Source organism: Homo sapiens, chromosome 17 (assembly GCF_000001405.40).
Source record: "Homo sapiens chromosome 17, GRCh38.p14 Primary Assembly".
NCBI classification, from domain to species: Eukaryota; Metazoa; Chordata; class Mammalia; order Primates; family Hominidae; genus Homo; species Homo sapiens.
The window spans coordinates 63,692,890-63,714,359 of NC_000017.11; the positions used below are offsets into that span (position 1 = coordinate 63,692,890).

General features: G+C 55.3%; 3 protein-coding genes and 1 long non-coding RNA gene across 31 annotated transcripts in view, besides 16 other annotated features; 2 read left to right on the forward strand and 2 right to left on the reverse strand.

The window, feature by feature from the left end:
* The window catches only part of MAP3K3 (mitogen-activated protein kinase kinase kinase 3), a 73,889-nt gene extending 70,473 nt beyond the window's left edge, over positions 1 to 3,416 (forward strand). For all 9 annotated transcript variants that reach the window (NM_203351.3, XM_005257378.3, NM_001363768.2 and 6 more), the window contains one exon: positions 660 to 3,416. In NM_203351.3, the coding sequence (NP_976226.1) occupies positions 660 to 888 (229 nt within the window). In that variant the 3' untranslated portion in view covers positions 889 to 3,416. The remainder of the gene's footprint in view (positions 1 to 659) is intronic.
* Positions 625 to 904: an enhancer, noted in NCBI's record as "active region_12554". NCBI's record gives its function as "activates an Ori minimal core promoter by ATAC-STARR-seq in GM12878 lymphoblastoid cells {active_cell/tissue: GM12878}" and the evidence as "EXISTENCE:reporter gene assay evidence [ECO:0000049][PMID:35858748]".
* Positions 1,466 to 2,353: an enhancer, noted in NCBI's record as "H3K4me1 hESC enhancer chr17:61771715-61772602 (GRCh37/hg19 assembly coordinates)". NCBI's record gives its function as "activates a minimal SCP1, AML or CMV promoter by ChIP-STARR-seq in naive H9 embryonic stem cells {active_cell/tissue: H9 hESC(naive)}" and the evidence as "EXISTENCE:reporter gene assay evidence [ECO:0000049][PMID:30033119]".
* Positions 1,655 to 1,754: a silencer, noted in NCBI's record as "silent region_8825". NCBI's record gives its function as "represses an Ori minimal core promoter by ATAC-STARR-seq in GM12878 lymphoblastoid cells {active_cell/tissue: GM12878}" and the evidence as "EXISTENCE:reporter gene assay evidence [ECO:0000049][PMID:35858748]".
* Positions 2,415 to 2,484: an enhancer, noted in NCBI's record as "active region_12555". NCBI's record gives its function as "activates an Ori minimal core promoter by ATAC-STARR-seq in GM12878 lymphoblastoid cells {active_cell/tissue: GM12878}" and the evidence as "EXISTENCE:reporter gene assay evidence [ECO:0000049][PMID:35858748]".
* Positions 2,575 to 2,634: an enhancer, noted in NCBI's record as "active region_12556". NCBI's record gives its function as "activates an Ori minimal core promoter by ATAC-STARR-seq in GM12878 lymphoblastoid cells {active_cell/tissue: GM12878}" and the evidence as "EXISTENCE:reporter gene assay evidence [ECO:0000049][PMID:35858748]".
* Positions 2,675 to 2,774: an enhancer, noted in NCBI's record as "active region_12557". NCBI's record gives its function as "activates an Ori minimal core promoter by ATAC-STARR-seq in GM12878 lymphoblastoid cells {active_cell/tissue: GM12878}" and the evidence as "EXISTENCE:reporter gene assay evidence [ECO:0000049][PMID:35858748]".
* On the reverse strand, positions 2,999 to 8,266 carry LIMD2 (LIM domain containing 2). Of its 5 annotated transcripts, none has more exons than XM_005257705.5 (5): positions 8,095 to 8,266; positions 6,368 to 6,459; positions 6,139 to 6,180; positions 5,910 to 6,049; positions 2,999 to 5,822 (listed from the first exon to the last, which is right to left on the reverse strand). In XM_005257705.5, the coding sequence occupies exons 2-5, from the start codon at positions 6,407 to 6,409 to the stop codon at positions 5,663 to 5,665; spliced, it is 384 nt and encodes a 127-aa protein (XP_005257762.1). In that variant the 5' UTR covers positions 6,410 to 6,459; positions 8,095 to 8,266; the 3' UTR covers positions 2,999 to 5,662. The 5 variants fall into 5 exon arrangements, with proteins under 5 accessions (XP_005257762.1, XP_047292809.1, NP_085053.1 ...); XM_047436853.1 differs by lacking the exon at positions 8,095 to 8,266 and adding an exon at positions 7,572 to 7,636; NM_030576.4 differs by lacking the exon at positions 8,095 to 8,266 and adding an exon at positions 7,143 to 7,236.
* Positions 4,845 to 5,154: an enhancer, noted in NCBI's record as "active region_12558". NCBI's record gives its function as "activates an Ori minimal core promoter by ATAC-STARR-seq in GM12878 lymphoblastoid cells {active_cell/tissue: GM12878}" and the evidence as "EXISTENCE:reporter gene assay evidence [ECO:0000049][PMID:35858748]".
* Positions 6,115 to 6,344: a silencer, noted in NCBI's record as "silent region_8826". NCBI's record gives its function as "represses an Ori minimal core promoter by ATAC-STARR-seq in GM12878 lymphoblastoid cells {active_cell/tissue: GM12878}" and the evidence as "EXISTENCE:reporter gene assay evidence [ECO:0000049][PMID:35858748]".
* Positions 6,435 to 6,894: a silencer, noted in NCBI's record as "silent region_8827". NCBI's record gives its function as "represses an Ori minimal core promoter by ATAC-STARR-seq in GM12878 lymphoblastoid cells {active_cell/tissue: GM12878}" and the evidence as "EXISTENCE:reporter gene assay evidence [ECO:0000049][PMID:35858748]".
* Positions 6,985 to 7,944: a silencer, noted in NCBI's record as "silent region_8828". NCBI's record gives its function as "represses an Ori minimal core promoter by ATAC-STARR-seq in GM12878 lymphoblastoid cells {active_cell/tissue: GM12878}" and the evidence as "EXISTENCE:reporter gene assay evidence [ECO:0000049][PMID:35858748]".
* Positions 6,985 to 8,234: a biological region, named in NCBI's record as "H3K27ac-H3K4me1 hESC enhancer GRCh37_chr17:61777898-61778483".
* Positions 7,449 to 9,796, forward strand: LOC729683 (uncharacterized). The gene has a single exon (NR_046273.1). It is a non-coding gene; the product is annotated as an uncharacterized LOC729683 (long non-coding RNA).
* Positions 7,649 to 8,234: an enhancer, noted in NCBI's record as "H3K27ac-H3K4me1 hESC enhancer chr17:61777898-61778483 (GRCh37/hg19 assembly coordinates)". NCBI's record gives its function as "activates a minimal SCP1, AML or CMV promoter by ChIP-STARR-seq in naive H9 embryonic stem cells {active_cell/tissue: H9 hESC(naive)}" and the evidence as "EXISTENCE:reporter gene assay evidence [ECO:0000049][PMID:30033119]".
* Positions 8,235 to 8,819: an enhancer, noted in NCBI's record as "H3K27ac-H3K4me1 hESC enhancer chr17:61778484-61779068 (GRCh37/hg19 assembly coordinates)". NCBI's record gives its function as "activates a minimal SCP1, AML or CMV promoter by ChIP-STARR-seq in naive H9 embryonic stem cells {active_cell/tissue: H9 hESC(naive)}" and the evidence as "EXISTENCE:reporter gene assay evidence [ECO:0000049][PMID:30033119]".
* Positions 8,615 to 8,714: an enhancer, noted in NCBI's record as "active region_12559". NCBI's record gives its function as "activates an Ori minimal core promoter by ATAC-STARR-seq in GM12878 lymphoblastoid cells {active_cell/tissue: GM12878}" and the evidence as "EXISTENCE:reporter gene assay evidence [ECO:0000049][PMID:35858748]".
* Positions 9,135 to 9,214: a silencer, noted in NCBI's record as "silent region_8829". NCBI's record gives its function as "represses an Ori minimal core promoter by ATAC-STARR-seq in GM12878 lymphoblastoid cells {active_cell/tissue: GM12878}" and the evidence as "EXISTENCE:reporter gene assay evidence [ECO:0000049][PMID:35858748]".
* Positions 9,943 to 21,470, reverse strand: part of STRADA (STE20 related adaptor alpha) — a 39,155-nt gene continuing 27,627 nt past the window's right edge. For 5 of the 16 annotated variants that reach the window (NM_001003786.3, NM_001363786.1, NM_001363787.1 and 2 more), the window contains 9 exons: positions 21,117 to 21,219; positions 20,517 to 20,638; positions 17,839 to 17,947; positions 17,602 to 17,725; positions 14,358 to 14,529; positions 13,746 to 13,850; positions 11,452 to 11,693; positions 11,116 to 11,158; positions 9,943 to 10,862 (listed from right to left, as the gene is read on the reverse strand). In NM_001003786.3, coding sequence (NP_001003786.1) covers positions 10,710 to 10,862; positions 11,116 to 11,158; positions 11,452 to 11,693; positions 13,746 to 13,850; positions 14,358 to 14,529; positions 17,602 to 17,725; positions 17,839 to 17,947; positions 20,517 to 20,638; positions 21,117 to 21,219 — 1,173 coding nt within the window. In that variant the 3' untranslated portion in view covers positions 9,943 to 10,709. Of the gene's footprint in view, positions 12,020 to 13,745; positions 13,851 to 14,357; positions 14,530 to 17,601; positions 17,726 to 17,838; positions 17,948 to 20,516; positions 20,639 to 21,116; positions 21,220 to 21,470 lie in introns of all 16 variants that reach the window. The other 11 variants (NM_001363789.1, NM_001165969.2, NM_001363791.1 and 8 more) reach the window with 7 other exon arrangements.
* Positions 17,440 to 17,734: a silencer, noted in NCBI's record as "tiled region #9817; HepG2 Repressive non-DNase unmatched - State 15:Elon". NCBI's record gives its function as "represses a minimal TATA promoter and a strong SV40 promoter by Sharpr-MPRA in HepG2 cells {active_cell/tissue: HepG2}" and the evidence as "EXISTENCE:reporter gene assay evidence [ECO:0000049][PMID:27701403]".

A 21,470-nucleotide genomic window follows, 5' to 3' on the forward strand; every position in this document is an offset into this window, starting at 1 on the left:
GGATCTGTAAATGTGATTGTATATAGCAAAGGGCCTTTGCAGATAGGATTAGGTTAAGGGTTTTGAGATGGATGGATTATCCTGGATTAAGGGTCCTTACAGAAGGGTCTCAAGAGGTCAGAGTGGCTAATAGGAGGTGAGACAATGAAAGCAAGAGGTTGGAGTAATACAAGGAGGGGACCATGAGCCACGAAATGCAGGTGGCCTCTAGAACCCAGGAAAGGCAAGGAAACAGGTTCTCCCCTCAGAGCCTCTGACAGGAACCAGCCCTGCCGCCACCTTGACTTTAGCCCTGTGAGACTGATTTTAGACCTCTGACCTTCAGAACTGTAAGATGATACATTTGTGTTGTTTTCCTGCCTCTAAGTTTGTGGTCATTTGTTAAGAGCAGCTATGGGTAGCTAATACAGTTATTGTAGAGTTCTTTCTGTCAAGTCTAAGTGATTCTCTTTTTCCTTATTTCAAGAAGTACCCAGGTGTGTGGTGAGTGTAGGTCCATGAAGCCCACGTGGACAGACATCCAAGCTGAGGTATCCCTCAGCTTGGCCTGTCCTGCACCTCAGCTTGCTGTGAGAAAGGCGCCTCTTTCTGCAGTGGTGGGCAGGACAGCTGGGAGTCCAGGGCTGGCTGAGGGGTGACACGGGGTTCTCTCTTTCCAGGAGCCTGGGCTGCACTGTGGTGGAGATGCTGACAGAGAAACCACCGTGGGCAGAGTATGAAGCTATGGCCGCCATCTTCAAGATTGCCACCCAGCCCACCAATCCTCAGCTGCCCTCCCACATCTCTGAACATGGCCGGGACTTCCTGAGGCGCATTTTTGTGGAGGCTCGCCAGAGACCTTCAGCTGAGGAGCTGCTCACACACCACTTTGCACAGCTCATGTACTGAGCTCTCACGGCCACACAGCTGCCGGTCGCCCTTTGCTGCATGGCAGGGGGCTGCTGCTGGGCTCAGTGAAGTTGCTGCTTCTCCCAGGCAAGGCTGTGGACCATGGAGTGGCAGCCCAGCCAGCGTCGGTCTGTGCCCCTTCCGCCACTGGGGCTCAGAGCCGGGGTGGGGTGGCTGCAGCCTCAGGACTGGGAGCCCCCAGCCTGTCAGATCCAGGAGCTCCAGTGTCCTGAGCTCAGCGTGGAGGGGTAGGGGCTGGGAACAGTGTGCAAGGCAGCCGTGGGCCCCACCCTCGGGGATGTGTCCTGACACTGCAATTGGCACCGAAGCCCAGAGGGTCTGGGGGCACAAGACTGACGCCAGGGTATGAAGAGTGTTATTTTCATTCAAAGTGTTATTTTGTTTTTCCTTCCAATGTCTGGAGACCACCAGGGCATCTCTGGGCTGGATGAGCTCCCACAAGCCTGAGGGAAAGGCCAGCACTCGCTAGCAGTGGCAGGCAGAGGCCCAGGCTGCCGTCCCCTAGAGTCCCAGGTTGGCTCTGCCAGTCCTGTCCTTTACCAAAGATGAATGAAGCAAATGTCATGCTGCCTTATTCAGGGAAGGAGGAGCCTGTCCTGCCTGTGGCCATGACCCTGCCTCTCCCAGGCAGGGGCCCGCGATGTGGAACTGCTGCCACTGAGGGGGGATCCAGTTTTGTCAATGCAGTTGTCTCTGTTTTACAAGTTGGAGTCACTCTTATGCTGTACCCAGTTTCTAAACTGGAGACTGTGTGTGCCCTCTGGGCTCTGAGTACCCCTGCTTTGGGCTTGGGCCTAGGCTGCATTGAAAAGAGCTGAAGGTTGTGGCCTTTGCGCTCCTGGCCCAGCCTTTGTTCCCCACTGGAGCAGAAGGGGAGATGGACGACACGGTCGGGGCATCTGGCCTGGCCAGTGCCCTGATCCCAGAGAGCCCGAGGAGGTGTCTCAGGCTGCCTGAGTCGTGACCTGCTAGGCCAGAGCCCACTCCATCTGGTAGAAGGGAAAGCCCATATGCTACCACCAGCTGTGTCCAAAACCGCCAGCTCTGTTCTTCCTCAGCCAGCCTCGCCCATCCCCTTGAGGTCTCAGCCCCTTTCCCTTGTAGCTCCTCCCCTGGAGGGGGAATGGCAGCAGGGGTTGGGGAAACAGCATCTCCAAGCAGCTTAGAGTTGGCCATATTTACCTCAGCCTGGGCGCTGGTCCTTTCTTCCGGCCCCTCCCCTCCAAAATGTGCCTATTGCTAGAGCTCCTCCCTCTCAACACCCAGTTTCCTTGGGAGTTGTCATTAAAGGAAAAAAAAAAAAAAAAAAGCCAGTGCCCAGGGATGGGCATCTCCAGGGAGCTGGGGATTAGTGCCAGGCAGCCCTGCCAGCCATGCCTACATCCCCATGGGCACAGAACAAGCCAAAGCCTTCGTTGTATGTTGACGATGCACTTTTATGAATGTAGTTTCTATCGCTGTTTTTAGCCTTTTCACATCATGTAATGTGAGGCCTTGTACTTGTTAATTTATATCTCAGATCATATTTGATGGTTTTTATATATATCAATTCTAGACTGTTACAGGTGACGGACGCCTCAAGAGAGAGAAGAGAAAATGAAAGCAGCTGGTTTTGCAGAAGTGTGTGTCGCATGCGCCAGTTGGGCCTGGACCCTCCTGTGTCCATCCCTGTTCCCCCAGGGGCTCTATCAGCCCCTGTACCCCACACTGCCCTCTGAAGACAACACAGGCTCCTGCTTCCACCTCGGCCCTTGCCCAGGGTGGGGCCTGGCCCTCATCTTGACCAAAGCTGCTGTGTGGCAGCTCGGCCTCTCTACGACCCCATCTTGGTGGCTGCACACTCTTCCTGGCCCGCACCCCCATCCCCAGTCCCTGTTCCCCAAGAGGATACAGAGCACGGTGCTGGCTGACTCAACTGTGCGTCCCAGGTTCAGGGTCTTACAGAGCTCCACCCCCTGGGGTCTTACCTCACTGGGAATGTGTTTTGAAAATGAATTTGAAGACAAGCCAACAAACCCTGCACTCCAAAAAAGCAAAACAGACCCTAATTTTTTTGTGCCAAAAACTGTGGACATGCTGGCTCAGCATCCTCAGGACCAAGTTGTTGCTTAATTTATTGTTTTTTAATAACTAATCCAGATAAAAAGTTGTGGGGCTTCAGGGTGACCTGGGCCCAAAGGTTCTGAAGGGCAGTTCCTGGCAGCCCCAGGCTTGCTGTGGGAAGGGGCCGTGCCGTCACTTTCTCATCATTCCATGGGGTGTGTCTGCCTGGGCCAACTCTGCATGGAGAGGCCAGGGCTGGGGACAGTCCGCACTCTGCCACCCTCCTGCCCCTTCCACCCACCCCAGCTCTATGTCTGTGTCTGAATTGTGGATCGTGCAGCCATGGTTATTGTGGAACTGTGGAACCTGCAGCCATAGTTATTTGACTATATCTTGACCGAGGGCTTGCAGTGCAAAGCCAGGCCAGTGTTGCGCATTACTTACAATAAAAGGGATCATTTATATCAGAGGGGTCCTGTGGCAGTGCTTTCAGTTGTGGGGGGTGGAGGTAGGTTTTTGCTTAGCAGGGGCCAGGTATGGTGCCTGGCAACGAGCCTGGGCCTTTCAAGCAGAAGAGAACTTGACTCCAAGTAGAGGGGTCCTGGGGTGATCTGGCTGATACCATTGTCAGTCCAGAGGTGTCTGCCCCTTTCCTCCAGTTGCCCCTCCAGGAGCTCCACTGGGGTGGTCCCAACAGGGCTGATTTACCAGGGTGGCACTGCTGGCCCTCACAACCTGAACGTCACCAGTGGCTGAGTTCCCGGAGCTTTCATGATATTTGGTAGGGTCTTCCTGGCCCAGAGGACTTCCTTCAGTCCCATCTTTGCAGGGCAGGGGTCAGGTGTCTCCAAGAGCCACCTCTCCAGTACCCCCTTGTGGTCATCTGCTACTGTTGCTTAACCGAACCAAGATGATCCTTGCCATCTGAGACCTCTGGTGCAGGAAGTTGGCCTGCCCTGAGAGGCTCTGAGGCGCTCACTTCACACTTGGGAGGATCCAGGCCGGGGCACCATCTCTGCTGAGTATTCGCTCTGCTCCCTCGAGGAGCAGTGCCTGCCTCAGCATAGTGACTTATGTGACACTGGAGCCTGTGGCCCAGCTCCCTGCCCTGTTCCACGGGGAGGCCACTTAGGAACTCAGGCAGTTGTATGGTGTGGTGGCAGCAAACCCTCCAGGAGTCTCTGTTCTCATCGATCCCATGTCTGGAGACATCAGGAAGTTGAATCTGGAGCAGGACAACCCAGACTTCTGCCTGTGTCCCACCGGGGCGCCCTCAGGTCCTCCCAACTTGCCTGGTTTGCTCTGCTGTGAACTCATCCCTCATTGTCCCTGGGTTTTCAGAGAAGCAGAGGTAGTTTCTCTTTGGATTTCCTGAGACAGTAGCTGTGACTGCACCTCCGCAGAGCTTGAAAAGGCAAGGGGATGATGACAGCAGCGAGGGGTAATGATGAGGGGGGACAATCCAGGGGTCACTAAAACCTTGGGCAGCACTTGCTGGGTCTGCTGGTTACCGCCATTCTTCGCTAACTTACTTCCAGGTCAAAGGGCTGGGAAGAAGGGAGGGAGCTAGACAGCTGGAACCAGCCAGGGAACGCGGCAGCTTGCACCCCAGGCACTGAAGTGCAGCGAGGACAGGCGCCATCACCCACTGGCAGCCTGGCCCTCCCGCTCTCAGGCCTCTTCACAATGGGGTGCATATGGTAAGTTGGTGGGTCTGAACCAACCCAGAACTGAGGGGTGAGGTGGAGTTTCAGTTCCAAAACCACTGTGGGTGTGACAGCATGAAGCCCTCGCTGTGAAGAGGAGCCCTCCCATTTCTCAATGGTGTGTCAGGGAACTGACACCCACTTCTAGCTCCCTGCCCCCATCAGGGCCGAGGTAGTCGGGGCTGGCCCTGTCCCCCCATGCCCGCCCCATGGTGAGTCTGCACCCTTCCTGTGACAGATCCCCCAGCAGGCCACACAATAGAGAATCTGGATCTATTGAAACATGTTTAAAACGGGGTTGGTCACAACAGGATGGGCACAAATGGGAGCGGGGGAGGGGAGTGGGGCCGCACCAGCCCCTGCCAGTGCCTGAGGCTGCAGCCTGGCGAGTGCTTTTGCTTCTGCTTCTCCACGCTGGTGGTTCGAGATGGTCCCAAGCCCCACTGGGGCAGGCCCTGCCTTGCCCTGCAGAGGCAGGGTGGCTCCACTTCCCCATCTCCTCCCCCATGGGCTGCAGGGGCATTTATGATGCCCAACAGGTGGCACTGTCGCGCTCCTTCCTCCCTGTCTCCGTGGCTCAGAAACAGGTTAAGGGTAGAGGTAGATGGGGAGACGTGGGGGCCACACAGTCTCCGGTGGCAGTGAGGGAGCTTGGGACCCTGAGGGGGGCATGCTGACTCCTTGCTGGAGAAAAGGCACCTAGATAGGGGAGCTGGGCTTGGGGGCCTCCCAGGGGGTCCTGGGGTGAGGTGGGGAGGGAGGCTGAACGAAGCAGGAAGCAGGGTGGTGGGCAGACCCCAATCCTGGTTTCCAAACCCTCACCGGCTGCGGGAGAAGGAAGAAGGAAGGAGTCCTGGAGCAGAGCCCTGCCCTGGTCCCCTACGCCTGAGCAAGCCTCATCCCCTTCCCACCTGGCCCCCACGCAAGCCCAGCTCGACCTCCTTCCCACCTTCCCCCTGCCGGCTCCAGGCCTTCCGCAGAGGGGGTGGAAGGTTACAGAGGCCTCAGGCCGTCTTGGTGCCGGGGTCCACCTCCTTGTGGGCCCAGAGCTCCTTGTGCTGCTTGCGGCCAAACCCCTCGTCGTAGTTGCCTTTGCTCTTAAACAGCTGCTGGAAGTGGGGTTTGCAGTAGAACTCCCCGTGCAGCGCGGCGTAGCTGCCCAGGCTGCAGAAGCCAAACAACGGCGTCAGGTCAGGTCAGGTCGGGGCTGGGTTGGCAGGCGAGGCGGGGGCGGGCAGGGCAGGGGCGCACCTGAGCTTGGTGTGACAGTGCTTGCAGCAGAAGCAAGAGTTGTGGAAAATGAGCTTGTCGGCCACCAGCCGCTCCATGGGGTACACGGTCTTCTGGCAGGCGGCGCAGGTCTCCTTCACCTGGGCCCGCAGGCTGAAGGACTGTGCGGGAAGCTCAGCCAGGTGCTGCCCCAGTGCTCATCCCGCTCCCTCACACCCCTCCTCCCGCACACCCGGCCCCAGGCCCCTACCTTGGAGCGCTGCACCGTGCTGCTGCCGCCGCCTTTGGCGTCCTGAGGGAGAGGGGCGGTCAGGGCAGGGGCAGCTCCGGGAGGCCCTGGATCAGGGCTGCAGCCATCAGCCCAAGGCCCAGGGGCGCGCCGCAGGGCACAAAGGGGGCCGGCAAACTCTGATGCCTCTCCCCTTCACCCCAGGCCAGGCTCCTGTCCGGGGGGCCCTCCCACCCAGCCGGGCACTTACATGAGAGGGGGTGGCCTGGGCGGCTCCTGCAGCCTGGAACATGGCTCGTTGGAGGTGGAAGCCTCGGGTGGAGAAGCGGCACCCGCTGGGTTCTGCAAGGGGAAGTCAGTCGGGAGGGCCCCGCCAGCCCGGCCCCAGCCTGCAGGGTGGGGGGTGTTGACAGGCAGGGGCTGGGGGGATTGCGGTTGGGACTTTCCCTAAGTCATTTCCTGTTGCTCTTGGTCTTGCCACTTCCGCCCCTCACCCACCTCCCCCACCCCTGCTCCCCAGGGGCCGGGGTCCCGAGTGGCACCGTCCCTCGGAAGAACAAAGTTAGCGGGAGCGGAGGGGCCGGGGGCTCCCGCGCAGCCGCCGTGTGCGTCCCGCGGGCTGGGACCGCTTGGGGTGAGGGGAGGTCGGGGCCGGCGGGGCCGCGATGAGAAGCCGCTGCCCCGACCTGACCCCGGCCCTCGCTGCCCTGCGCCGCGCCCGGGCGTCCAGGCCTAGGCTGCGCAGCCCCTGGACAGCGCCCGAGGTCCCCGCCCGCCCCGCCCCTCGGCCCCCGACCTGGCCCCGCGAGGACCGGACCCCAGACCCCGACGCCGCGAGCCCCGCCAGCGGGTCTCGGCTCCGCCCAGCCGGGGGCCGGCCCTGAAACGAGGACTCGAGCCTGTGCGCCCCGGGCGAGAGCGGCTCGCAGACTCGCCGGGACCCCACGGGCGGCCCTCACCCCACACCCCTCGGCGCCTCTCCCGGTTCCGGAGCCGGACGCGGCCCCTCCCCCCGCGGCTCTCACCAGGCCCGGCCTGGGCCGCGGGGCGGGATCGGTCTCCGGGGGCGCACGGGTACGAGGAGGGCGCGGGCGCGAGCTGCTGCCGCTACCAGTGGTCCCCGAGCCACCGCCGCCGCCACCGCCTTATCGCTGCACCGCCCCCGCCGGCCCCCGCCCCGCGCCCGCCCATTGGCTCCGCCGCGCCCGGAGCCGCCTTCGGGGCCCCGGCGCCGCCGCCGACCCCCCTCCGCGCTTTGTCTTCCCCTCGCCGCCGTCCCCGCCTTTGTCTGTCCCCCGCCCCGGCTCCGCGCTCCCGGCTCCGCAGCGCCCCGCGGGCCTCGCGCTCGCAGGCCTCGGGTACCGGCCGCGCCGTCTGCCCATCCCGACGGCGGCCCGGCGTGGGGAAGCAACGGTGGCAGGGACAGGATGGAAGGGCCGCGCTCCGCATCCTACTGGGAGGGGACGAGTTCAGGCTGCGGCGGCTGCGGTCGCGGGACACTGGGCGCTCCCGGCCTGGCTCCGGGATAACCGGGCGGGGCCTGGGCCATTCACTGCCTCGGTTTCCCCCGGTTGGCCTCGCGCGTAGGCGCCGGCGCCCCCATCCCCGCCCAGAGCTGTGGGGCCGCAGAGACCCAGCCGGGGCGACCCCGGAGCCTGGCCCGGGGTCCCTCGGGCGGCCGAGTCCTCCCGCCGCCAGGGGCCGCCCCCGCCCCTTTGCGGCCCACGAGGCTGGCGGCGGCGTCCGGGCACGCGGTCTCCAGGCCCGGCCGCGAGGCTGCGGGGAGGAGCCTGCACGAGGGCCCGGCAGCCCCGGCAGCCCCCCCAGCCCTCGGCGCCTCTGCAACCCTGCGACGGGCTGGGGAGGCCGGTATGCGTGGTTCCCGGAGCACCCGTCCCCCGAGGCTCCACGTACTCAAGCGTTTCTGGGGCGGAATTCTGTGGGCAGCAACGGGGGCCCCCTCTCCAACAAGCGCACCTCATTTCTCACGTGGGAGCCGCGGCCCAGAGAGCTGAGGTGACAGAGCTTGGGCCGCAGAGCTGCTCCCTCCCTGCAGCCGCACAGCAGGCCGGAGGCACAGCCGGCGAGAGACGGCCACTCGCTTTGGAGCGGCGGCGAGGCCGGCGCCTTCCCGGGCACCAGGGACTGCGTGGCTTGGCCGGAAATCAGGCTAGAAGCAGCTCCGGGAAGCACAGCCCTTAGCCCAGCGCCTTCCCACACTGTGGCAGGAATAGCACTGGCGGCCCACGCGCTTGTCAGGGAACAGAACAGCTCTCGCCCGACGCCTGGCAGGGGAGCAGGGAGGCTGCAGCTTCCCCAGCGACCAGCTGTTTCCCAGGCTGGCGGACTCCACGGACCGGCTCCGCGTCTCCTCTCCAGCCTTCTGTTCTCTCTAGAGGAAGATCTGCGTTTTGTCTGCACTGTGGGCCGACTCTCTAGTGGGGAGCGTCAGACCCTCTAAAGTGGCTGCCTCTCGGGAAAGCTTCCACACCTGTCATCAGATTCTCCAAAGGGGCTGTTTGATGCAAGAAACGGGAAGCCCCGGGGGTACTAGGAGCAGGGCTTGCTGCCATTGGGCATGGTGAGGCCCCGGCACCCTGCCCAGGACGGGCCTGTGGGCTGAGCTGCAGATGGGCATTGAGGATGCCCCAACAGCAAGGTGCAGAAGGCATCCAGAAGCAAAGGAAACTGATGACCAGCGTCAAAAACAAACAAAAAAAGGGAACTTGGCTCGGCGGTGGCTCACGCCTGTAGTCCCAGCACTTTGGGAGGCAGAGACAGGTGGATCACGAGGTCAGAAGTCCAAGACCAGCCTGGCCAACATGGTGAAATCCCGTCTCTACTAAAAATACAAAAATTATCCAGGCGTGGTGGTGTGTGCCTGTAATCCTAGCTACTCGGGAGGCTGAGGCAGAAGAATCGCTTGAACCCGGGAGGTGGAGCCTACAGTGAGTCAACATGAAGCCAGTGCACGCCAGCCTGGGCGACAGACTCTGTGTTTGTGTGTGTGTGGGGGGGGGAGGGCGGGGCGAGGCGAAGGGAACTTGAGGTTTAAAGCAGGGGGAGGAGGGCCGGAAATGCTCCCCGCCGCCCCCGACACTCACTCGCCCCAGGCCCCATCCTAGCCCAGGGTCAGTGTCATTCCCTTCACCTTAGCCTCTCACTGCCCAAAGAGGCTTACTTTTCTTCTTTAAACTGCTGTTAAAATTTGGGAGGAAACGGAAAGCAAGGGCACCTGATGGTTCAGTGCAGCTTCAGGTTAGAGGGGCATTTGAGGTGCCTGAGCTGGGGGAGGGCCTTCCCCCTGAGGGACTGGGAGAAGGGTAAGCCATGTGCCCTGGAAGCACTGCAGGGAGCCTCAGATTTGCACCCCCTGGCTCACACTCGCTGGCGCCAGCCAGCATGGCAGGGATGGGCGGGGCTGGTTCTTAGGTTTCCTGCTCTTTGGGTGCTAGCACCCAGGGTAAGGAGACACCCATGTCCGGTTGCAAGACAAACCCTTCTACCTCCTTTCCTGCCAAAGGCCACCAGCATCCTCTGCCTCAATCTCAATCTTTGGAACTTTTTAGCTCCAAAGTGGTTTGATGACCACAGGCTAAAATTCATAGTCTTAAAATTTTAGATAGTTAAGAGACAGATCTGTTACAGGTTTTCAAATAAACTGGTCTATCTAGTGTAAGAGGTCACTGCTGAGCTTCAGTGAGCACCCATGGGCCTGCTCTTGGATGGTGGGACAGCTCTCACCTGGGGCAGCACGGCCATCCCTGCAAGCACACACACCAGGAAGCAGCCTGTAGCCCCTGAGCTGACGCAGACACAATGCCATTCTCCAGCAGCGTCTCTGAAAATTTTAATTTGTTCTGACAACGAAACTAACACAGCATAAGGACTTAAGCCCTCAAGCTAGGCAAGACACTGATGGCCCTTGGAGAAAGCACCAGGGCAGCTGGCAGGAGGCGCTAAGATGGATTCTTGGTGGGAAAGGAATGAGGCACACACATAAACCGTGGGAAAGACTTAGGTGTCAGGGCCCAAGCCAGAAGAGGGATAAGGATGGACTGTTCCAGCCTTAGTCTGTGCTTAAAAAGACAGAAATGCCCTTCTCTGGAATTATGAGGGAGAGGTCTGAGGGAAGGGAGGCAGGCAGCTTACTACTTGCCCTTTCACTGACCTATAGCATCTGAGGCATCTGAGAGCAAAGTTAAATAGAATGAGGCTGGTCGCAAGCACTGGGAAGAGGTGGCGGTCCTCGGGTTTAAGGAGCCAAACCCTGGGCTTGGAATTCAGCTCCCAGGGCCAGAGCAGCATCTCTCTTCTGCGGAGGAGGTCACCTGAGCTCACAGGACTGGGAATGTCGGCTTTGGACCCTCCTGATCCCTGGTTGTTGAGATTCCCTTGTGTCTCAAAAGCCTTGGAGCAGTGAAGTGTCTCTCCAGGATTTTCTTTCCCAATCAGTCAGCAGTCAACTTTCCTGGAAGAATGTCCTTTCTACCCAATCTGCCCAGGAGGGCGGGAATGTGGCCGGCCCTCAGGAAGGGCCTCTGGGTGGCCTCTGCATCCCTGGCTGGAGAATGCGCACAGTTTGCAGAGGCTCAGAACTCCCAATCGTCCACCTCCAGCTCTTCCAGGTTTGTTACCAGGCCAAAGATTCCACTGTGGTCCTGAGACTGGCTGCCCTCAAAATTGGTGATGGGGGTGACAGGACGAAGCAATTCGGGCAAAGCCTCTGAGGCACGTCGCTTGATCTGGGGGAGAAGAGAGAGGTGGGTGACAGATCCTGTTGCTCTGGGTCCCAGGACACCATGGGGCAAGGAACCATGGCCTGGTGGCAGACGGGCTGTCGGAGCCAACTCCATGAGAGGAAGGAGCAGTGTCTTTCAGGGGCTTCGGAAGCGGGGTAGTTTCTCTCATTCAAAGGGAGGGGAGAGAAAGCTAAAGGGATTGTGAGTTGTTAGAACCAGAACTAGAACCAGAACCAGAACGAAGGGGCTACGATACCTGCTTGAAGAAAGAGTGGTTCAGGAGGGTGCTGGCACTGGGCCTGGAGGGAAAGGGGAGGAGAGACCGCAGCATCACTGCCGTGTCCCCAGCTTCCCGAAATCCTGCCACTTATGCCTCAGCCTCGGGTCCCCTCTCCCTCTCCCTCAGCTCATGGGAAGCAGTGGCCAGAGCTCCCCAGGCTGGCCTCTGACACACCCAGGAGCTGATCCCTCCTGTGTGTAGCTCCAGATTCCCCTGCAGAACCTTTGGGAGGTAAGTCCCTTCACACCCTGGCCTTACCCTCCTGAGCACCCTCTGCTCTCCCGAAGCCCAGGCCCAGGCCAGCAGGGATACCTGGCATCCGGGTTGCGCTGAAGGCACTGCTCCACAAAGTGGTGGAAGTGGGGGGAGAAGGTTCGGTGGTAGGGGTGGGAGGGCGAGTCACCGTTGGAGGGCCGGGGGGTGCTGGTGGTCAGGCTGTCACTCAGGCCAGAGTTGGCCACTGAGCGCGAAGGGCTCATGGTCAGCTCCTCAGCGGGGATGGTGCTGGTATCCAACAGGCAGGGCACTGTGCCGTTCAGTTTCTCTAGCAGCATCTGGGGAGGACAGAACCAGGACCTGGGCTGTAGCGGGTGGGGGGGGGGGGTGGTCCCTGGAAGGCCTGAGAGTCTCTTCACAAATACACTGTTCCCAATATGCAAATGTGATCATTTGAAGAGTGGAAAAGGTGGAAGTGGAGTAAGTCCAATTTTCCCAAAGAAACGCTGGTCACTGGCGTGGCAGCTCCGCCCTAGCCAGGCCAACGTGAAAGGAGAGGGGTTGCACAAAAGTACCCGCTTTCGCCATGGCTGGAAAGCAGGGCTCACAGTTTCCGCTCTCCCTTTCCAAGGCATCAAATTCCTTTTACCGTAGAGTCTTCACCCTAGAGGGAAGGAGCAGTCAGATGAACCTGCTTTGAAGCCCAGCCGTCTGCCATGCTCAGGTGGATCCGATGAGGTCTGAGAGGCAGTCCCTGCAGTGCCACAGCCTGGGCTGTCGCTGCAGCAGGCCACACGGGAGCAAGATGCCCAAGGGGAGGCCAGGCTGGGTGGCTGTTCCAAAGTACCCCAACTCAACACATATAAAACCAGCCCCACCTGGGACTGCTGTCCTCGTGGAAGTCCTCATGACCGCATAAGCTGTCCAAGCCAGAAACCTGGAAATTGCTCTAGAGCTGCACTAACGTGATAGCCACTAGCCACTTGTGGCTATTTCGATTTAAATGAGGTTTAAAATTCAGTCCCACAGTCTCACTGGTCACCTTCTAAATGCTCGACAGCCACACAGTCTCATGGCTCCCACGCTAGACAGTGCAGCCACAGAAGCCCTCCTTCGCTGCAGCAAATTCTAGTGGATGGTGCTGCTTCTAGGCCTGGACTTCTTGTTCCTCCTCAGTCACCTTTTCTTTCCTGAGCATCCTCTGTCACTGAATTATTTTACTGAGATCTCCTAGATTCCTCACATAGACTTCCATACCCACCTAACTGAGCTACTGGATCTAATCCATCTGCCGGGGTGGTCTTTGTAAATGAGCCATCTTATGCTGTCACTCCTGTGCTTAGAATCCTCAGCACTGCTCCACAGGCTTTAGGACAGGAACCAGTGCTCTAAAGTGGCATCAAAGCCCTTCACAATGTACCCTTGCTTCCTTCTGTGCCTGTCACCTGGCAGTCCCCAAGAAGCACTGCACCTTGGCCATTTATACCATTTACACCTCCTTGCTGTTCTCCAGATCTGTTTTTTCTAGACTCTGGGTCTCTGCACATGCTGCTGTCTGCCGAGAAGAGTGTCCTAGTTCCTCCTCCACACAGGTGACTGCTGTCTGCCTTCCAACTCAAGGCTGCCTCCTCCCAGGACTTCCCTGGGCCCCTGCTCTGGGGGGCTGCACTCTGGCCACCCTCCAGCTGCCCCTACCACCGGGCAAGCAGCCTGTGGGTTCCGGAAGTGGCTTAATTAGAGCCTGCATCCTGCCCCTCCCAGTTCCAGACCACACTCCAAGTAGCTGGGACCCAGGTAATCCTTGCCCAAATGACCCCAAATCCATTTTCTGGATTTAATGAGGCTTGCATAAGCCTCTTCCCTGGGTCTGTTTTCCCAAGGGTAGACTGTGCCACTGACTGTGCACCCTTGGATCCTAGGGGTGGCCAAAGGACAGGCATCTGGAGGGTCATGAACAGAAGCTGAACTTACAGAATGGGGGTTCCAAAGGTGTCAGCTGGAATGCGGTTAAGAACTGTGGGAATTCTAAATTAGAAACTGACCTTCCAGGTATATTTATCCAAGTAGGAGGACAGAACATATTTTATGCATTTATAAAAACTAGTTAGCTTAATGTATATGTTTTAAATAGACATGTAGCGTGTGGGCCTCCATTTGCACCCCTGCTCCCGGGCTCCCCTCCCCAAGCTGGCCTCCCTTACCACCAGGTTTGCCACAGGAAGTAAACAAAGAGTGAGGTCACTATCCCCCACTGGGTGGGACTTCTTGAAGGAAAAGACAGGGTCTTTCATCTTAGTATTCCTAGTCTGTGTCCTGAGTGTGAGAGCTACTCAACGAACATCTGTGGAAGGCAAGCAGGCAAGAAGGAAACCGATGGGCGGCAGGCTTACCTGGGTGGCAGGCATATCCTTAAAGGGGACATGGCCGTTGGCCAGTTCACAGGCTGTGATTCCCACACTGTAGATGTCAGACTTGGCATCATAACCCTGGAGATTCTAAGCCAGAAAAAAAAGGCCACAGATTACCCCATTTGGTCTTTGTTCTTAGAAAAAGGGTAGAACTAAAGAGAGGAAAAGGATGGCTGTCCCCACATCAGGACCTGCTGCTAATGACTCTCCTTGCCTGTGCTACTGAAGACTAACTGGTATTTTACCACCTGTAACTGGCGATGCTCTGTAAGGAGCAGGAAGTGCCAGCCCCATGCCCCTGCTTAGCACAGGGATCCAGAGAGCAGCAAACATTTCCAAAATGCTCACTCTTCTCATAGGGTGCCAAGGGTCCCTAAAGGGAGCTGAAATTTCATCCAATAGAGGTTAGGACCCCCTGGGAGGAACCACATCCATCTGCAGTGGACAGGCGCTGCCCACGCTGAGGGCTCCCTCCCTCCAGGAACCCCTTTACCCCACTGGGAGGTTGAGAGCCCCCGACTCCAGGCAATGCCTGAAGGCTCCCTTGGGAATCATGAGTTGGGTAGGGGAGCTCCTCTGGGCCCACACACAGACCTGCTGGAGGACCTCGGGGCTGAGCCACGGCAGAACCTTGACACTGTACTTGGGAAAATCGTGGACCACTCGCTGCCGCTGCCCATGGCTTATCATGCTGAGGTTGCTGCGCAAACCAGACAGGTAGACCTTCCCATCCACAGAGATCAGGATGTGGCTGGCTTTGACACTCCTGGGGAAGCGGGGAGGGTGTCATGTCGAGAGCAGGAGCCCCTCCTGCTACAAATTTTTGGTCTTCACACACTCCACCTGGCCAGCTCTCTCCTGTGTGCGTGTGTTATACACGTATATGTGTATTTTACATATACATAACCATGTTTTTGTTTTCATTGAGATAAGAGTCTCACTCTGTCACCCGGCTAGAGTGCAGTGGCTCAATCTAGGCTCACTGCAACCTCTGCCTCCTGGGTTCAAGCAATTCCTGTGCCTCAGCCAACCAAGTAGCTGGGATTACAGGTGTGCACCACCACACCCAGCTAATTTTTTTTTTTCTTTTTTTTTTGAGACGGAGTCTTGCTCTGTCGCACAGACTGGAGTGTAGTGGCGCCATCTCGGCTCACTGCAAGCTCCGCCTCCCGGGTTCACACCATTCTCCTGCCTCAGCCTCCCGAGTAGCTGGGACTACAGGCACCCGCCACCACGCCCGGCTAATTTTTTTTTTTTTGTATTTTTAGTGGAGACAGGGTTTCACTGTGTTAGCCAGGATGGTCTCGATCTCCCGACCTCGTGATCCACCCGTCTCAGCCTCCCAAAGTGCTAGGATTACCAGTGTGAACCACTGCGCTGGGCCCGCCCAACTAATTTTTATATTTTTAGTAGAGATGGGGTTTTGCCATGTTGGCCATGCCAGTCTTGAACTCCTGGCTTTAAATGATCCGCCTGCTTTGGCCTCCCAAAGTGCTGGGATTACAGGTGTGAATCACCGTGACCGGCCTATAACCAGGTTTTTTGTTCTTGTTGTTGTTGTTGTTGAGACAGAGTCTCACTCTGTCGCCCAGGCTGGAGTGCAGTGGCGCAATCTCAGTTCACTGCAACCTCTGCCTCCCAGGTTCAAGCAATTCTCCTGCCTCAGTCTCCTGAGCAGCTGGGACTACAGGCTCATGCCACCACATCCAGCCAGTTTTTGTATTTTTAGTAGAGACAGGGTTTCACCATGTTAGCCAGGCTGGTCTTGAACTCCTGACCTCAAGAGATCCACCCCTTGGCCTCCCAAAGTGCTGCCACTGCATCCAGCTATAACTATGTTTTAATGAAAAACTTCAAATCTACATAAAATAGCATGACTCCATTTACATATCACCAGATTAAAAGCTTATTTAGCTCTGTCATCCAGGCTGGAGTGCAATGGCACGATCTCAGCTCACTGCAGCCTCCACCTCCCAGGTTCAAGTGATTATCTTGCCTCAGCCTCCTGAGTAGCTGGGATTACAGGCACCTGCCACCATGCCCGGCTAATTTTTGTATGTTTAGTAGAGACAGGGTTTTGCGATGTTGGCCAGGCTGGTCTCGAACTCCTGACCTCAGGTGATCCACCCACCTTGGCCTCCCAGAGTGCTGGGACTGTTCAGTGCTCTTGTATGCTCTAGAACACCTCTTGCCCTACCTCCTACGAATGCTTTTAATCTGTACTTCTTATCTGTAGGACTCTTGTAAAGTGTACCTAGGGGTACTGTGTTCCGCATCCCATTCTTCCTTTTTCACTCAGGGCTGTAGTTTCCAGACACATCTGTATTGCTAGCTGTGTACCTTTCATCTTTTCTTCTAATTGTCACCTTGGTTCTGGGAAGAGATCTAACACTTTTACTCATCCATCCTTCTGGGGACAGACACTCACACTACCCCTAACCAACACACGTGTGAATGGTGACATCCAAACATGTCCCCTGATGGGTCTGCACGAGGGTTTCTTTAGGGTGTACATCCAGAAGTGGCATTGATGGTTCTGGTTCTGTGACCCTGACTGGCAGCACCGGGCATCTTCCACCACCTGGACAGGAGGCTCCCCGTCCTTGCCACACTGGGACTCGTCCAGCCTCCCAACCGCTGCCAGTCTCATGTGTATAAGGTGACATCTTGTTTTTCATTTGCTTTTCTCTGATTGCGAGATTTGAGTGGCTCTTCCTATGATGGGTTTGTCTTGGGGTTTCCTCTTTTGTAAACTTCATATCTTTGGCCCATTTTTCTTGCTTTGCTGTCCATTTCTTGTTGATTTGCAAGATTTCCCTGTTACTAATCTCCTGTGGTGACAAAGCTAATATCATCTGCTCTGTCACTTGTTTCTTAACCTTTTTCATGGTATCTTGTATTGGATAGAAATCTTCTTGATCTAATCAAATTCATCAATCTTTTGTCTTATGTTTTGTGCTTCTAAAATGTTGAGAAATTATTACATGCCTCAGGTCACAAAAACATTTTCTCACATTTCCTTCTATTTAAGTCTACAGTTTCACATTTTACATAGAAGCCTTTAATCCAGCTGCAGTCCTTCTCTGTATGAGGAGTTATGTAGGGGTCCAGTTTTACCATTTTCCCTACTATGAGCTGATTTCCTGACACTATCTACTAAGCTATCTGTCTTCGCCCTGGTCTCTCAGCATAAGACTGACTCTGGGGCACAGAAAGAAGGAGGCAGAGAGTGGAGTACAAAGGTCCACATCAGATGTTCCTCTCACACAACACTCAAGACCAAGCTGCTCAGCAAAGAGAAAGTCAGTGGCTTCAGCACTAACAGGCTAAGTGACCATCTCCCAAGTCAGTGGCAAGGTCAGAATCCAGATCCTTCTCTCTTTTTTTTTTTTTTTTTTTCAGACAAGAGTCTCACTCTGCCACCCAGGCTGGAGTGCAGTGGTGTGATCTCCAGTCACTGCAACCTCCGCCTCCCAGGTTCAAGCGATTCTCCTGCCTCAGCTTGTAGTCCCAGCTACTGGGACTACAAGCATGTGCCACCACACCCGGCTAATTTTTGTATTTTTAGTAGAGACAGGGTTTCACTATGTTGGCCAGGCTGGTCTCAAACTCCTGACCTTGTGATCCACCTGCCTTGGCCTCCCAAGCGCTGTGATTACAGGCGTGAGCCATCGCGCTGGGCCCTGTTTCTTTTCAGAGCAAAGAGATCTTCAGCAAGAATCCAGATCCTTGATTTTAAACTCTGGCTTCATTAACTTCAGTCAAACTTCACTTTACCTGAAGGCTCAGGGGCATAGCTACCCACTGTAATCATGGGAAAGGCCGCCTAAGAACGCACCTGTGTACATATCCCATGTGGTGGATGTAGTCGAGGGCCTTCAGCACCCCCTGCAGGATGTAAGCAATCGCCAGCTCATTCATGCCATCCATGAAGTGTGTACAGATGAGATCTTTTGCAGAACCTGCAGAAAAGGATTGCATGGAGGCAGTGAAAGGTAATGGAGGAGGAAAACACAGGCAATCTGACAACAGAGTCCCAATAACCCCTTTCTACCAAGAACCCTTTCCCACTCACCGTATGCCATGAATGATGTGACAACCCACAGCTCATTGTCTGCAATAAAAGTGGCTCGATATGGCACGATATTGGGATGGTTGAAGAGTTTGGAGACATGCAGCTCGCCCTGGAAGCAATGATGAAGCTGAAGTCAGAACCAAATGGCACTGAAGGATGCCGCTCAACACAAAGATGGCAGCATGGACAATAGGGGGACCTGGCACTTTCTGGGTGTTCTCAGAGTCATGGGAACAGCCTAAGCAGGTGCCTGCCAACATAGGAAAAACAAGGCCCTGCTGCCTCTGCAGGGACCCAGCACTGCTTTGCCTCTGCCAGATAGGGAAACTGCCAACAACAAAGGGTGCCAGCACACCGACTCAGAGATGATGAAGGCAAACTGTTGACTGAAGACTTCTGAAGTTATAAGCTTATCTCAATTTCAAGGGCCAACGTATAGAATTCCTCTTTAAGATAAGAAAACAAAAAATATTTTGTTGTTGTTATTTGTAGAGACAAGGTCTCACTGTGTTGCCCAGGCTGGTCTCAAACTCCTGGGCTCAAGCAGTCCTTCTGCCTCAGCCTCCCAAAGTGCTAGGATTATAGGCGTGAGCCACCAAGCCACTGCACCTGGCCAAAAATGTTTTCTTTTTTATTTTTTTGAGACAGGGTCTTGCTCTGTCACCCAGGCTGGAGTGCAGTGGTGTGATCCCGTCTCACTGCAGCCTGAACTTCCCAGGCTCAAGTCATCCTCCCACCTCAGCCTCGCTGGTAGCTGCGACCACAGGTGGACGTCAACATACCTAGCTAATTTTTTATATTTTTTTGTAGAGACAGGGTTTTGCCATGTTGCCTAGGCCTGCTTTGGCCTCCCAAAGTGCTGGGATTGCAGGCGTGAGCCACTGTGCCCAGCCCAAAACTATGTTTCTATTATAAAAGAAAACATGGCCGGGCATGGTGGCTCACGCCTGTAATCCCAGCACTTTGGGAGGCGAGGCAGGCAGATCACTTGAGCCCAAGAGTTGGAGACCAGCCTGGGCAACATGGCGAAACCCCATCTATATGAAACATACAAAAAATTAGTTGAGCATGGTGGTGCATGCCTTTAGTCCCAGCTACTCGGGAAGCTTAAGTGGTAGAATCACCTGTGCCTGAGCAGTTGAGGCTGTGGTGAGCTGTGATTGCACCACCGCACTCCAGCCTGAGCAACAGAGCCAGACCTTGTCTCAAATAAAGAAAAAAAAAAGAAAAAGAAAACACAGTTGATGGAGGAGAAGGCCAGCTGAGACTGGCTTCTGCTCCATCCTCAGACCCACCAAACTACTATGAACAGATGAACAGGTCCTAGAGCACCATCAGGTAACCACCAATTCAGAAAAAGTTGTAAATGAAGGAGGGGAGGGGCTGCAACTAACTCTACTGAAGGAAAACTGCCCCAGGCCCTGACTCTAAGCTGGCATCAGGAAAGGAGAGTCTAACTCCCAAGCACTTACTAGACTCACAGTCTCTCTCCGTTTTGTTTTGTTTTATTTTTTGAGCCAGGGACTCAGTCTGTCACCCAGGCTGGAGTTTGGTAGTGCAATCTCAAACTCCCGGGCTCAAGCAATCTCCCTGCCTTGCCCTCCCAAAGTGTTGGGATTACAGGCATGAGCTACCATGCCTGCCCCCTCTCTCAGTTTAACGAGAGAGTGGCTACTTGCTTCTCGAATAGAAAGGAATGTCAGGACTGGGCATAGTGGCTCACACCTGTAATCCTAGCATTTTGGGAGACTGAGGTGAGTTGATTGCTCGAGCTCAGGAGTTTGAGACCAGCCTGGGCAAGATGGTGAAACTCTGTCTCTACAAAAAATACAAAAATTAGTCAGGTGTGGTGTGCCTATAGTCCCAGCTACTTGGGGGGCTGAGGCAGGAGAATCATTTGAGCCCAGGAGGTTAAGGCTGCAGTAAGCCGTGGTCCTGCCACTGTACTCCAGCCAGGGCAATAAAATGAGACCCTGTCTCGAAAAAAAAGAGGCCAGATGCGGTGGCTCACATTTGTAATCACAGCACTTTGGGAGACCAAGGCAGGCAGATCACCTGAAGTCAGGAGTTTGAGACCAGCCTGGCCAACATGAAGAAACCCCGTCTTTTCTAAAAATACAAAAGTTAGCCGGGCATGGTGGTGTGCGCCTATAGTCCCAGCTACTCGGGAGGCTAAGGCAGGAGAATCGCTTGAACCTGGGAGGTGGGGGTTGCAGTGAGCCGAGATCGTGCCACTGCACTCCAGCCTGGGTGACAGAGTGAGAATCCGTCTCAAAAAAAAAAAAAAAGAAAAGAAAAAGAAAGGAACATCAGGCAAACAGGAGGCTGAGAGCCAGAAGATGGCCACTGGTGGCAGGGCAGGCACCTTGTGTCTGGAACAAGATGGCCTGGGTTTGAATCCTGCCTCTGCCATGAGCAAGTTACTTAGCTTCTTTCTAAATAATAAATAAATGAATAAAAAAGCCAGAAGGGAGTGTTTGGAGAAGAAAAGGGAAATATAAATTAGGCTGAGCAGCATTTCAGCCCAATCCTTAGTGCCAAATGGCCAGGATTCTCCACTGAAAGCTTCCATAACTTCCGAACGTTTAGTCTCCCTTCATTTCTTTGTAATTCCTTGTAATTCCTATCAGAGCCAAGAGCCCACCCTCCCTCCATGTGACACACTCATGGTTTATTACCTGCAAGAATGTTACCATCTCATTGGAACAAGCTTCTAGGTTAATCCTCCGTACAGTCACGTACTCTCCTGTTGGTTTGTACCTTGCTAGATTCACAGTCATCAGGTCCTCAAATCCTTTGCCTAAAAGAAAAAGGGAATGCCATACGCAAGGACAAGAACAACAAAAGGTTTTAAGAAAATTTTCCTTTAAAAAAGGGACTTGATTTCAAAAGAAACTTAATGTTAAATTTTTCACTACTGTTACTTTTTTTTTTTTCCTTTTCCCAGCAGAATTTAACTGTTATGTTCATGGCTCACATTTCTTGATTTTTCTCTCATCAGTTCCTTCTCAGCCAACCTTTCTGACTCACTATGGCCAGGACACCGGAAACATGGCAGCCACAAAGGAAAGATGGCAAAAGAGCTTCTTTCCTGGAAGTTTGATCTCTTCCCATACTTGGCATAAAAAAACAGAGAAGACCCACAGAAGCAAGTCTGTGCCCATGAATCCTCCTAACTAGTGGATGGCCTCTGCTGTACACACATCTGGGGCTGCTGAGAAAGCTGCAGCAGCCCCTGGAGCAGAAAGCAGGAGAGTAAGGACGGCCCCTGCACATACCTATCACAGTGAGCAGCTCGTAACACCCTCCCTCTGGCAGAAAGCTACTCATGACCTCCTGTTTAGAGAAGGATGCTATTGACTCTGAGCTCGCATCATTGGTCTAAAAAAGAAAAAGAAAAATAGGTTAGTAGAGAAAACTGGGGGTGGGATGGGAGTGGGGTGAAGGTGGTAATTCAGACCCACGAGGAGACTGGCATCTAAACACACACACAAATCCCGACTCAGTGCCAGCACTATTTGAAGAGAAACAAAACACTACATTCAGGGTAGTAATCAGCACTAATATCAGAGCAAGTGTTAGGGTTGTCTACAAATGAGGAGACAAGGACCTGTTCCCATCAAATGTTAATC